Genomic DNA, 14,652 nt, shown 5'->3' with positions numbered 1-14,652 from the left:
AAAGTTTGATAAGAATTGCCTGGCCAGGCGCAGTGGCTCATGCCTGTAATCTCAGCACTTTGGGAGGCCGAGGTAGGTAGATCACTTGTGGTCAGGAGTTCGAGACCAGACTGGCCAACATGGTGAAACCCATTCTCTGCTAAAAATACAAAAATTAGCCGGGCTCAGTGGCATGCACCTGTAATCCCAGCTACTCGGGAGGCCAAGGCAGGAGAATTGCTTGAACCTGGGAGGCGGAGGTTACAGTGAGCTGAGATTGCACCACTGCACTCCAGCGTGGGTGACAGAGCAAGACTCTGTCTCCAAAAAAAAAAAAAGGAATTGGAAGTACAGATGGGTGTTTAGGGTCCATATGAACAGAAAGCAGTATTTGAGCACAGATTTTAAAGAGGTGAGTGAGTGAGCCACTTGATTACCTGAGAGAAGAGCATCCCAGACAGTGAGGAAGCCGATGTAAAGGCTCTGGGTGAGAGTGTGCTGAGCATGTTTGAAGAAAGAGTGTTGTGGAGACCAACAGAGTGAGCAGAGGGGACAGTCAGAAGGTGAGAAGATTAGAGATGTGAGGACAAGAAGGACGGCTCAGTATATCTCACACAACCATAAGGTGATGTGTCAGTAGTTTGTGCTTAATAGCAATGGAATGGGAGGCCATTGAATGTTCCTGAAAAGAAGAACACCATGATCTTATTTATATTTTAAGAGGAACACTCTCCTATGATATAAATAGATGATTAGGTGCAAGAGTTATGACAGGTAGATCAGTGAGAAACAATGGTCCAGGTGAGAGGTAATTGTGGCTTTGAAAAGGTATGTCATTTGTGGCCGGGCTCGGTGGCTCATGCCTATAATCTGTAATCCCAGCATTTTGGGAGGCCAAGGCGGGTGGATCACCTGAGGTCAGGCGATCAAGACCATCCTGGCCAACATGGTAAAACCTCATCTCTACTAAAAATACAAAAATTAGCTGGGTGTGGTGGCAGGCACCTGTAATCCCAGCTACTCGGGAGGCAGAGGCAGAGGATTGCTTGAACCCAGGAGGCAGAGGTTGCAGTGAGCCAAGATCGAGCCACTGCACTCCAGCCTGGTGACAGAGTGAGACTCCATCTCAAAAAATAAATAAATAAATGAAAAGATATGTCTTTTGTATGTTCTTGATAATTTTTGTTTTGTAGTGTGTTTTGGGTCTATGTTACTGGGAGAAACACTTTCTGATGCTTGTATGTAACTGATTTTCAGATACAATTGAACAGGTAATTTGATTTGGGCAGTTGGAGTTTGCAAAGAAGTAGTCCATATACTTAGGAGGAATTGATCAGATCAGCTTTAACAAGAATTTCCATTTCTGAGGATGTTAAAAAATGTCTGAAAAAGGTTTCCATAGTCTCTTAAATTTGGGAAGTGCTCCATTTCACAAAATATGAAAGGTTTCTTGATAATAGTACACATTGTTTCCCAAATTATGAGATTATAATACCTTTTAAAAACAACACAAAAGACCTTGGAAGGTTTTCCTTGTGACTACCACTTGTAAACTGAGAAATGGTGATATGTTTCAATTTCATATTTTCTCATTGACTCGTATCAGGGTAAAAGAAAATCAGTTGAAAAATTACCCTTGCTTTTTTAAAATTTACGTGATAAAATAGCCCATCTGAATTTACTGAATTTGTCCTTATTTTTATTGAATATGAAAAAAGATTGTTTAGTGTGTTGGATGTTAAATGCTAAGACAATTTTAGAATTTAAGGAATTGAATATACAGCATTTTCATGACTAGTCCCTCATGTTCATTTACGTGCCAGGATCTCACATCCTTTGCAGAAGGAAAGGTACATTCCTAGGGATAAAATAAGTGCATGTTACTTGGACAACATTTTTGCTTTCTGTTTGCTAAATAAAAATCCCTTTTAAAAATTCAGTATTGCCACACTTTGCCATATTAAAAATGTTTTAGATTACTATATTATCCTGAAACTACATGTACACACACACCCCTAAAATAAGTTTTATGGTATTTCATATGCCTGTACAGGAGAAAAAATAGGGAAAGAATACAATCATCGTAAGTTCTTATTATTACATTATGCTGAGATTTCTAATAACACTGCCCTTTTCTGGGTATTTTGTATTAAACCTAAAATTTGTGATGTTTTAGACTGTTTCACTAACGTGTTTTGATAATGTCTCAGTACCCTTGGGAAAACATTATAAAGTAGTGGGCAATGATGAAACCTACTCTGGGTGTTTTTAGGCAAATTTTTTAACTTCTTTGATGCTAGTGTTCTCATTTATAAAATAGGTGAACCAGGATGAGCCCATAGGATAGTTGTGCTGATGAGGTGCAAGGATGCATGCCAGGCACCCAGCACTGGCTCTTCCCACACATGGAGTGCTCAGTAACCGTGAGCTATTAGAATACAAGTGCTCAACCAGTGCTTGAGCAATTGTGTCTTGTGTCCAACAGAACTCAACAGAATCCCATGCTTGTCTTTATATGTGAATTCAGTTCCTTTTGAGTTAGTAAGAAATTATGCCTGTGTTGGGGTAATTGAACTTTTAGGATGAGGGAATTGTCTGCCACAATTATTCTATGAGCTTAATGTTTCCATGTCTTTTTCTTCATTTTGGAAGTTGTGGAAAAATTATAATGAAAGAGTATATAAACGTTTTCCTCTGTATTATAGCATATCTGACAGTTTCCTTTATTAAAAAGTACAATACATTAGGGAGAGACTTGATGAATTTAAAATTAAAGTTTGAAAAGTATTATTGACTATAAGTGATCTTCAGCTGTGCAGTTTTCAACTTGAGGTTGTCAGAATGTAATATTACACATTATATTACACACATCTACAGAATCCAAACTGTGATGTTCCTGGAGTATTGGAACAATACCTATGACTTTTTGTTTCTATTTATTTTTAACTCTTCTAATAACCGCTTCCTTAAGAAAAGTCATACATCATCACTTTGGTGTATCAGAAACAAATTCCTTATGCAATAAAAGCATACTTCTTTCTCATTCACCTCCTGGGATCTAGAAACCCTGTTAATGCAAGAAAAAAATCCCATACCTCAATAAAATAACACTCTGTTTGTCTCAAGAGTGGAAACACAACACATTTCCTCTCAACTGGTGGTCCCAGATCGACCATCACAGTGTATGGATGTGTTGGGAGGTGTGGGAATAGGACTGCACTGAGGCTCTAGAAGGCCAGCAGGTGGGGCAGACTGAATGGAGGGAGGGGACTGGCATTCAGTAACTACTGGAGAGTGGGAAGAGTGAGGTAGACTATCCATCTGGTGAAGGTGGCTGCTTCCTTGAGGTTTGTTACTTTCTGTAATGTTAATTCCCTCAACTTTTAAAATTTGATTTTTAGACAAGTTATACATTCAAATGATTTAAAATTGGAAAATAATTAAAAGGTAAACAGTGAAGTCTCTCCCTTTCCCCTGCCTTCATGCCCCCAGTTTACATCTCCAGAAACCTCAGAGGTTTCTTGTGTAACCTTCCAGATGTGTTTTATGCATGTATAAGGAAATGTGTGTGTGTGTGTGTGTGTGTGTATATATATATATTTTGTGTGTGTATGTGTGTGTGTATATATATATATTTTGTTCCTTTTGTCTTACTACTATTTACTGTCCTTCATTTTTTTATGGCTGCAAATATTCCTTTGTATGGAAATATAAGCAATTTAACTTACCTGTTCTTTCCCCTGTTGATAGACCTTTGGGTTTCTTTCAATCTTTTTTTTTTTTTTTTTTTTTTTTTTTGAGACAGAGTCTTGCTGTGTCGCCCAGGCTGGAGTGCAGTGGCACGATCTTTGCTCACTGCAAGCTCCGCCTCCTGGGTTCACGCCATTCTCCTGCCTCAGCCTCCCGAGTAGCTGGGACTACAGGCACCTGCCACCACGCCCGGCTAATTTTTTTGTATTTTTAGTAGAGGCGGGGTTTCACCATGTTAGCCAGGTTGGTCTCAATCTCCTGAACTCGTGATCTGCCTGCCTCGGCCTCCCAAAGTGCTGGGATTACAGGTGTGAGCCACCGCGCTCGGCTTTCTTTCAGTCTTTTACTGTGAATAGTACAATGAATCACCTGGTATATTTATAATGTTGTATGTAAGTGGGCCTGCAAAGGTGAATTCCTTGCTAAATCCAAAGACATAATGCATTTAAAACTGTTTTTGGCAGGTAGGATACAGTTTTTTTTTTCATTTATTTTTATTACACATATCTGAGGTATACAACATGCTTTGTATACATAGTGAAATGATTACTATGGTCAAACAAATGTCTGTATCCTTCACCTTCCATAGTTACTCTCTGTGTGTGTACACCTAAAATCTCTTTCAGCAAATTTTCATTACAATATTATTAACTGTGGTTCTCATGCTGTGTATTAATTTGATCTCTAGAATTACTCGTCTTACCTAACTGCAGATTTGTACCCTCCGACCTACTTCTGCCCATCCCACCCATCCCCTACCTCCAGACCCTTGATAACCACCATTCTACTCTCTATACGTTCAGCTTCTCACCCCGCTGCCTACCATTCTGCTTATTAAGTGAGATCATACAGTATTTTTCTGTGTCTGGCTTACTTTATTTAGTATACTTTCCTCCCGGTTCATCCATGTTGTCACAAATGGCAGTGTCTCCTTTCTTAAAGCTAACTATTCCATTGTATAAAGTCCTCATTGTCATCAGTAAGTTCTTAGAAACTGTGGTTAAGAGGGGGAAAAAAGTATGACAAAACTGATTTTTTTTTCATTTTGCATTATGCCAAAATTAGATTGAAGGAAACAGTGTTACTTGAGGACCTGCTGTATGTTCATTTAGCTTAACGTCTCAGTTCCCAAGAACCTATTGATGACATTAAGGGAGGACTTAATATATGTGTATACACACGTCACAATTTCTTTATCCATTCATCTGTCCTTGAATGGGTAAGTAAATTGTCCATCAGGACACTTAGTTTGTTTCCATATCTTGGCTATTGGGAGTAATGTCGCCATGAATATGGGAGTGCAGATGTCTCTCTCAGATGCTGATTTTATTACCTTTGAATATATGCCCAACAGAGGCATTGTTGGATCTTATGGTGGTAGTTTTTTTTTTTTTAAGGAAACTCTATACTGTTTTCAATAATGGCTATACTAATTTACATTCCTATCAACCATGTACAAAGGTTTCGTTTTCTACACATCCTCACCAACACTTATGTCTTTGCCTTTTTGATAATAGTCATTCTAAGAGACATGAGATGATATCTATTGTGGTTTTAATTTTCATTTTTCTCATGATTATGATGTTGAGCATCTTTTCATATACCATTTGACCATTTGTGTGACTTTGGAAAAATGGCTATTCAGGTCCTTGCCTATTTTAAAATCCAGTTATTTGGGATTTTTTTGCTACTGAGTTGTGTGAGTTCCTTATATGTTTTGGATTTTAACCCCTTATCAGATGTGTGGTTTGCCAATATTTTCCCCTAATCCCTGTGCTACCTTTTCACCCCGGTGTTTTTTTTTTTTTTTTATTGCTATGCAGAAGCTTATTTGCTTGATGTAGTCCCACTTGCTTATTTTTGCTTTTGCTACCTGAGCTTTTGGTGTGATATCCAAAAAATCATTGTCAAGGAGGATATCAAGGAGTTTTTCTCCTATATTTCCTTCTAGGAGTTTTATGGTTTCAGGTGTTAGGTATTTAATCTATTTTGAGTTGCTTTTTATGTATGATGTGTAAGATAGGCATCAGGTCCAGTTTCATTCTTTTGCATATAGATATCTAGTTTTCTTACCACTACTTATTGAAGACACCATCTTTTCCCTATTGTATCTTATTGGACTTGTCAAAAATTAGCTCATAATATATGCTTGGGTTTATTTTTGGGCTCTGTATTCAGTTCCATTGATCCATGTGTCTGTTTTTATGCCAGTACCATACTGTTTTGTTAACTATCACTTTGTAATATAACTTGAAATCAGGTAGTGTGATACCTTCTACTTTGTTTTTCTTTCTCAAGATTCTTTTGGCTATTCAGGGTCTTTTATGATTTAATACAAATTTTAGAATTGTGTTTTCTATTTTTGTGAAAAATGCCTTTGGAAATTTGATAGGGATTGCATTGAATCTGTAGATCACTTTGGATAGTATGGACATTTTAACAATATTCTTCCAATCTACAAACATGGGGATATCGTTATATTTATTTGTGTCTTTAGTTTTTTTTCTGTTTTTTGAGACAGAGTCACGCTCTGTTGCCCAGGCAGAAGTGCAGTGGTGTGATCTCCGCTCACTGCAACCTCTGCCGCCTCCTGGGTTCAAGCAATTCTGCTGCCTCAGCCCCCCAAGTAGCTGGGATTACAGGTGCCTGCCACCACGCCTGCCTGGCCAATTTTTGTATTTTTAGTAGAGACAGGGTTTCGCCATGTTGGCCAGGCTGGTCTTGAACTCCTGACTTCAGGTGATCTACCCGCCTTGGCCTCCCAAAGTGCTGGGATTACAGGCGTGAGCCACCATGCCCGGCTGTGTGTCTTTAGTTTCTTTTGTCAATATTTTATAGTGTTTAGTATATAAAGCTTTCACTTCCTTCATTAAATTTGTTCCTCAGTGTTTTATTCTTTTTGATGTTATTTTAAATGGAAATGTTTTCTTCATTTTTTTTTCAGATCATTATTTGTATAAAGAAATGCATCTGATTTTTGTATATTGATTTTGTATCCTGCTACTTGACTGAATTCATTTATTCTAGTAACTGTGGAATTTTTGGGGGTTTCTACATACAGGATCATGTCATCTGCACACAGGGATAATTTTACCCGCTTTTTTCTGCTGATGCCTTTTATTTCCTTTTCTTATGTGATTGCTCTGGCTAGGACTATGTTGAATATAAGTGTTAAGAGTAGGCATCCTTGCCTTGTAGCAGATATTGAAGAAAAGCTTTCAGTCTTTCCCTGTTGTAGGTTTGTTTTTGAATAGGCAATACCTGTGCATGATACAAGAAATACAGAGGTCTTAAAAAGAGTGAACAGTGTTAAGTTAGCCTACCTTTTGACCATCCCTTCCTTGGAAAGAACCAGTGTTTTCTTATAGCTTTCCAGAGATTAGTCATCTAGATACAAGTATGTATATATGGGAGAATTTCTCATATTTGGGTGATATGGTCTTTTTCTTTTCTTTCTGTCTGTCTTTCTTTCTGTCCTCGTCTCGTCTCTTCTCTTCTCTTTTCTTCGTTTCTTTCGATGGAGTCTTGCTTTGTCGCCCAGGCTGGAGTGCAGTGGCGCAATCTCGGCTCACTGCAAGCTCTGCCTCCCAGGTTCGTGCCATTCTCTTGCCTCAGCCTCTGGAGTAGCTGGGACTACAGGCACCTGCCACCACGCCCGGCTAATTTTTTGTATTTTTAGTAGAGACGGGTTTTCACTGTGTTAGCCAGGATGGTGTCTATCTCCTGACCTCGTGATCCGCCCGCCTCAGCCTCCCAAGGTGCTGGGATTACAGGCATGAGCCACCGTGCCTGGCCGATACGGTCTTTTTCTTTATTTCAGCCTGTGGGAATCAGAAGGCCCTTGTGAAGATGTTGGTTAGAAGAGACTTTAGCCTACAGTGATACCACCTGTGTGAGGGCACTGTATGTGCTACTTTATGCCATTTGTCTCAACATGTATGCTTACTGGTGTCACTATGAACCTCATCAATAAAAGTGCTCTCTTGGTTTTTACTGTCCTTGTGTGCATTGTTTCAGGTGAAAGGTGGCCTTTGTACTAGATCCAGTGTTATCCTTGGCCACAAACCATTACATATGATTAACTTGGGGATTTCCTCTTCATCATCCTGGAGATCATCTTCTGTTCTCTCCTGTGTTACATGTGTTTTCTGCAATTTCATGAATTTCTCTTTATTTTTTCCCTCTATTTGGGTGGAACGTATATTCCATAGCTCCCTGACAGAGAATGTGTGGAAGGTAAGTTTTGAGCATTATATACTTCTGAAAATGTCTTTATTTTACCTTCCTACCTGACTCATCTTTTCCAGGTTGGAAATACATTTTCATTTATCAATTTTAGTCAATTGATCCACTGTCTTTTAGTTTCTAGTATATGAAGAACTCGGTTCTCTCTATGTGACCTGCGTTTTCTTGGAAGCTGTTAAGATTTTGGGAAATTCTTTGTCCTCAGTGTTCTAAAATTTCATGAGGATAACGTCTGTTTTTGTCTATTTTTGATTTTTAAAATCTGTTTTGTTAGGCACTGAGTGGTCTCTTTCAGTCTGCTGTCTTATATCCTTCAGTGGTAGGAAATGTTCTTGAACTATATTATTGATAACAATTCCCTCTGTTTTTCCAGAATTCTGCTTTTCAGATGTGAAACATACTCAGTTTTTCTCTGCTTCTTTCCAATTCATGTCCTTATTTTATCTTCCTCTACTGAGTTTTATTTCTATTTCAGTTATTTCAAGAGCTTTCTTTCCTCCCTTTGAATGTTTCTTTTGTAGCATCCTATTCTTGCCTCATGGGTATCTTATATTATCCCTCAGAGGATTTTAATCTTTTTTAAGATTTTTTTTCTTCCTACTTAGTCTGTTAATTCCAAATTGTCTTTTATGTTCTCAGGTCTCTGTCTTTCATGTTACAGATCAGGGGTGTTGCAGATCTTCTGGCTTCCATGGCCCACAATGGAAGAAGCATTGTCTTGGGCCACACATAAAATACACTAATGATAGCTGATGAGCTTTTTTAAAAAAAAAAAAACTCATAAAAAGTCTCATAATGTTTTATGAAAGTTTATGAATTTGTGTTGGGCTGCATTTAAAGCATCTTGGCTGCAGGTTGGACAAGCTTGTTATAGACCATAGTCGGATAATCTTTATGGTACATGCATGATTAAAAGTGAAGAACTAAAGATGGAGACTGGATAGATAGTATTTTTATTTTTTAAAAAAGGAATTAAGTAGTTGATTAGAAAGCTTTCTGTATGTGGTGGTGCTTGTCGATTTGTAAGTTTAGTGGGGTGATTTGTGCTGACCATTTGGTGAACCCTCTGGTTTCCGTATCTTTAGATGTTCTTCTTGAACTGCTCAGGTTCCCCACTGCAGTCTTTTCAAACCTCATACTTGGAGGCTAGAGATCTGGCTGCTAGCTTTCTGAGAATTCAGTGGGGAAACGTGGGGTCTGGCAGCGGGAGCAGGATGGGGTTGTCCACATTTAGTATGCCCATATTTTCTTGGTCCTATTTTCAGTCTTCATCCCATTGTTCCATTTAAGGTCACCCAGGAATCCTGCATCCCACAAATGAGAGTAGCAGCTTCTCAGTGTGTAAACCTAGGAAGCAGATGTAGGGAGTATGACTTCTGCAGATAATTAAATCTCTTGTTGCTTGGGTTTTCTCCCACTTATTTCCAAAGGTGGCCAGTTTTCCTAGTTTCTCAGCCTTCTGAGGAGTGTTATAAACTGGATTCTTTTTTTCAGTTCTTTCTGCTCTCAACTGAGAATTTGCCTTTGTTAAGTTGTTTTTCTCCTTTCCTATTGTCTTTTTTTTTTTTTTTTTAAAGGAGATTGGGTCTTTCTCTGTTGTCCAGGCTAGAATGCAGTAGTGTGATCATAACTCACTGTAGCCTCAACCTTCTGGGCTCAAGCAATTCTCTTCTCCCACCTCAGCCTCCCAAATAGCTGGGATTACCGGCATGCCACCATGCCACAGCTTGATTTTATCTTTTAAAAATAGATTATTTCAGTGTGTTTTTTAGTAGGGTTTCAGGAGAATGTAATTTTAACATATGAATTTAGTCTGCCATCTTAACTCAAAATTCCCTGTCATTTTTTTTTTTTTTTTTTTTGAGACGGAGTCCCGCTGTCGCCCAGGGTGGAGTGCAGTGGTGCCAATTCGGCTCACTGCAAGCTCTGCCTCCCAGGTTCACGCCATGCTCCTGCCTCAGCCTCCCACGTAGCTGGGACTACAGGCACCAGCCACCTCACCTGGCTAATTTTTTGTATTTTTTAGTAGAGACAGGGTTTCACTGTGTTAGCCAGGATGGTCTCGATCTCCTGACCTCGTGATCTGCCCGCCTCGGCCTCCCAAAGTGCTGGGATTACAGGCGTGAGCCACCGTGCCTGGCCTTTTTTTTTTTTTGAGAGTTGGAATTTCACTCTTGCTGCTCAGGCTGGAGTGCAATGGCACAATCTCGGCTCACTGAAACCTCCGCCTCCCAGGTTCAAGCAATTCTCCTGCCTCAGCCTCCTGAATAGCTGGGCTTTTAGGCGTGTACCACCACGCCCAGATAATTTTGTATTTTTAGTAGAGACTCACCATGTTGGTCAGGCTGGTACGGAACTCCTGACCTCAAGTGATCCACCTGCTTTAGCCTCCCAAAGTGCTGGGATTATGGGCATGAGCCACCGTGCCTGGCCTATAAACTTTTCTTTTCATGGCTTAGTCATAAGCCGATAGCCATTATCAGATTGTTATGGAATTGGCCTCAAATATAGACCAAATATAATAAAAAACAAAAGACAAATACCCTGTTCATGCCATTACTGAAATATGTTATCTCTAATACTGAGAATATTGAAGGAGTTAACAACTTGATTTTAAAATGTATTTGATAAACATGTCTTTTTCCTGTAATACAATGTAAAGCATATATAACTTGGAAAAGTTTGATTACCATAGTGTTAAAATAGCATTCTCTAAAATAGCATTCTCTAAGCATTCCATTTACCTCATTCAGTGAAGTATTTATTGAACATGTATTAGGTATCCTACTAACAATACATCTGTTACTAAGAAAATCTGTGTACCTGTTCTCATGGAGAATATAGTCTAGCAGGGACACAGATTTTAAAGAACCAATAAAAATAAAGCATGACATTAATACATAGGAGCATACAACTGTTTGACATAATCTTTTCTAAATATCAGGAATTCTTTAATACAGTGAAGTTTAGAATAAATCCTGAAAGATAAGTTAGGTAGAAGGCAGAAATTGGGGAAGATAGTGGAAGAAAGAGCTTGATACATTCAAAGAACTGAGTGTAGTTCACTGGTGGGAGTGAGATGAAGCTGGAAAGTTTACAAGAGACTGTTGTAATGGGCCTTGCAATTTAAAGTTTATTTTGAGGGCATTGGGAAGACATGAAAGGATTTTAAGCAGAAAATGGATACATATTTATAGAAAGATCATTTATGCAGTAATTTAAAGAACTGATTGGAGAGAGGTAAGCTTTAAGGTGGGGAACTAGATAGGAGCATGTTGTATTAATAGTGAGTCATCTGAGGTTGGACTAAGATGGTAGTAGAGAGTGATAAAATGCATTTCAGAGGTATTGAGAAGTCTTGGTTGTAGGAGGAAAGAGATTAGGAATGATTGAGGTGGTCTTCCAGGCCTCTGTCTTCTCCGGGTTACATTTCCATGCCTTTTAATGATGATAGGTAACATGGGAAAAAGGAGAAAGTTTATTTTAAATTAGTAGTTCATTTTGGATATACAGTTTTCAGTAACTAGGTAATATTCAATTATAGCTGTGGTTGAAGCTCAGAAGAGAGTTCTAGTCTAGAGACCTGGACCTGAAGACATAATTAAAAGCAAGTGAATTTGTTAAGTGCAAATGGATTGCACTTAACAGAACTCTGAGTTCTGTGTTCCCCTTCTCTGATTATGTTTTATTTCATGGGAACACTGCACTAAGCAGCACAATTTCTACAACCATTTGGGGCTTCTTCTATCTCCTTTCATACTTTCCCTACCAACAGGGATGTACAATTAAAATGGCTCAGCAACAACCCTACTTTTTATTCCCCATTATGTAGGGATTATATATTTGATAGGTTTTTCCAGTTTTGTGTATACATTTACTTTTTTCCAGAAGGAGAACTTATGGATTGTGATGGAAAATCAGAATCTAGTCCTGAGCGGGAAGCTGTGGATGATGAAACTAAGGGAGTGGAAGGAACAGATGGTGTCAAAAAGAGAAAAAGGAAACCATACAGACCAGGTATAGTGCCTGAGGTAGACATTTCAATATCATCAACACTTGGTTAATTAAAGAAAAATACAATACTGAAGACTTCAATTAAAATTAAATATTCAGGCTTCAGAACTGTCTAAACAAAAATATGTGCACATAAATTAAAGAACTAAACTATTTGAATACGACTTTTTAGCTCTAGAGTTCTTTATTTTGAATGTGTGAATACTTCACAATGAATCATTATTGAATGCCTTGTCCCAAATGTTAACCATTTTATTAAAGGCTTTACTAGATTGGCTTTTGTTCATACTTGGACTTTGAAGGCCATTTATATAGTTCCTCTGGATGTGTACTTCTGTAACGCTTTTAATTTTCAGTATTCACTTTCTAATATCTTTTTTTGAAAAAACTTATTTCAGTGTTTATGCAGGAGTGCCAGTAAGTATACAGTGTGAAGGGGAATAAGACAGAGTTATTATGGCTCCTAGAATTTATAGTCCAGTTAAAAACCATGACTGATTAAACACTCATTTCTTATCTGCCTCAGGAGTGGAGAGAAAAGCGGTCTTGCTTGTCAGTTTTATTTGCCTTATTGGAAAAAATTATTAAAATTGTCACAATACAGAAGTTGTAGGCTTTTATGTATTTATTTAAAAAATTTTTTTCCCGCTTATCACACGTGTTGAGTAGGCTTTCCTTAGGCAGTTTATTAATATCTTGTTTACCAATGAGGTTTTAAATTGGATTTGTACAATCTTTATGCTTCTTATTGCTTATATTTTATTGGTAAGAGTGATCTAAATCCCTTTTGATATGGAAGGAAGAACTTTCTTACTTCATTCGTATTCCATGAGACCTTAAAAGATAACCTATCTTTTAAATAGGTCATATCTATAATAAGGACCTAAGATTAGTTGCTTCTGAATTGTTTTATGAAAATGATTTCATTTCTTCCTGATCATGAGGCTTATAAGTGTACTTTTTTAGACATTGCAGATTTCTTCCAGGAACTTGTATTTACCGTTTTTTTTTTCTTTTCCTCTGCCTCACATGGAAGTCAACCCTCTAATTGAGGGACCCATTAGGTCACGGAGTAAATTGCTAGACAACGATATCATTTCACAAAAGCTTATAGTGTTGACTGTGTACCAGACCTCTATTCTAAGCACTTCACTTATGTTATTTGTCCTTTTAACATGTGTATGAGAAGCTGCTTTGCCTCACCCCCTTTTTTAACCAGTGAAAGAACTGAGGCATTGAGAAGTATTTAGTAAGCAGAATTACATAGTCTGACTCCAGATTCCATGCTGTTAAACACAGGGCTCTATGTGTCCCATGTATAAATGCCCTCATACCTTGGAGTACCAGACACCGTCCCCCTGAAATCATATCAGTCAAAGAATATTTGTGTCATCTAGGTAGTTTGTGCCTTCTATCCTCCAGCTAATGTACCAGTTAGCCGGTTAATATACAGACAGTCATCCATCACTTAAGTTCAGAGAAATACATCATTAGGCATTTTCATCGTTGCGTGAACATCATAGAGTGCACTTCCACAAACCTAGATGGTATAGCTTACTACACATTTAGGCTGTATGGTACGCTAAATTCATTTAAAAAAATAAAGTAATTGTGCTACGGTGTTATAACTACGGTGATGTCTGTATGTGGTGGGAATTTTTCAGCTCCATTATAATCTTATGGGACCACTGCCTTGACATGCAGCCCTTTGTTGACCAACATCATTATGCAGTGCATGACTGTTATGTGATGTATGAGGCACTAATATTTGTCAAATAGATAAGCCAGCGTAATTTAGTGTTTGATATTTACACTGATACTGTTGAGAAGAGGAAGTGCACACAGGTCTTTTTGTATTCTGTTTGATAAGTGATAAGAGTGGCTTTGCCTTTTTTTTTTTTTTTTTTGGTCGTTTTTAACTTCTATTTTACCTAAAAATCAGGTTATTGATTTAGATTAGCACAGATTTAATTTTGGAAAATGACTTACTATTCAAGATAAAGCAGTTTTATCCTGTGTACTGTGGAAATGTAGGGAGAAATTACTTATCAGTTTACCTAATTTCTTTTTTGGATAGGTATTGGTGGATTTATGGTGCGGCAAAGAAGTCGAACTGGGCAAGGGAAAACCAAAAGATCTGTGATCAGAAAAGATTCCTCAGGCTCTATTTCCGAGCAGTTACCTTGCAGAGATGATGGTATAGTACTGACTTAAAAAAAAATTTTTTTTTTAATGTAACCCTTTGGTCTTGATATTTCTATTGGAAAAAACTATCCTAAATAATGTTACAGTCAATAAGAGCCTTATTGCCTCTTATTGTTACTCAATAAGAGTCTTATTGCCTTTTATTGATGAAAGGATTTGAGTGCGTATAGAGTTCATATCTGTAATACAGTAATCAGGTTTTATAAGGAAATGGTTTAAATCCAATAGACTTTATTCTTTTGAGATTTTTTGACAAGCTCTTTTTTCCTGTATCAAATTATTAAATATATTTTCTATATTTAAATATAAATGGTTTAGGGACTGAATAACTTAGTTACATAAGGTACTTTCTGGTCATCTCCAAAGCCTTTCTTTGACTGCCTTAGCTACTTATCATATAATTTGAAATTCTCAAGTGACAGTGCACCTCAGTTTTTATCTATTTATGTATCTGTCTGT

At 37.8% G+C, this 14,652-nt stretch overlaps 1 protein-coding gene across 1 annotated transcript in view; it reads left to right on the top strand.

Annotated features, from left to right (window-relative positions):
- The window catches only part of KMT2C (lysine methyltransferase 2C), a 301,079-nt gene that overhangs the window by 216,713 nt on the left and 69,714 nt on the right, over positions 1–14,652 (top strand). The window contains exons 24-25 of the mRNA NM_170606.3: positions 11,863–11,991; positions 14,066–14,185. Coding sequence (NP_733751.2) covers positions 11,863–11,991; positions 14,066–14,185 — 249 coding nt within the window. The remainder of the gene's footprint in view (positions 1–11,862; positions 11,992–14,065; positions 14,186–14,652) is intronic.

This window comes from Homo sapiens, chromosome 7 (genome assembly GCF_000001405.40).
Source record: "Homo sapiens chromosome 7, GRCh38.p14 Primary Assembly".
In the NCBI taxonomy this organism is placed as follows: domain Eukaryota; kingdom Metazoa; phylum Chordata; class Mammalia; order Primates; family Hominidae; genus Homo; species Homo sapiens.
The sequence above is the reverse complement of the archived record's forward strand: the minus strand, read 5'-3'. Positions and strand labels throughout refer to the sequence as shown.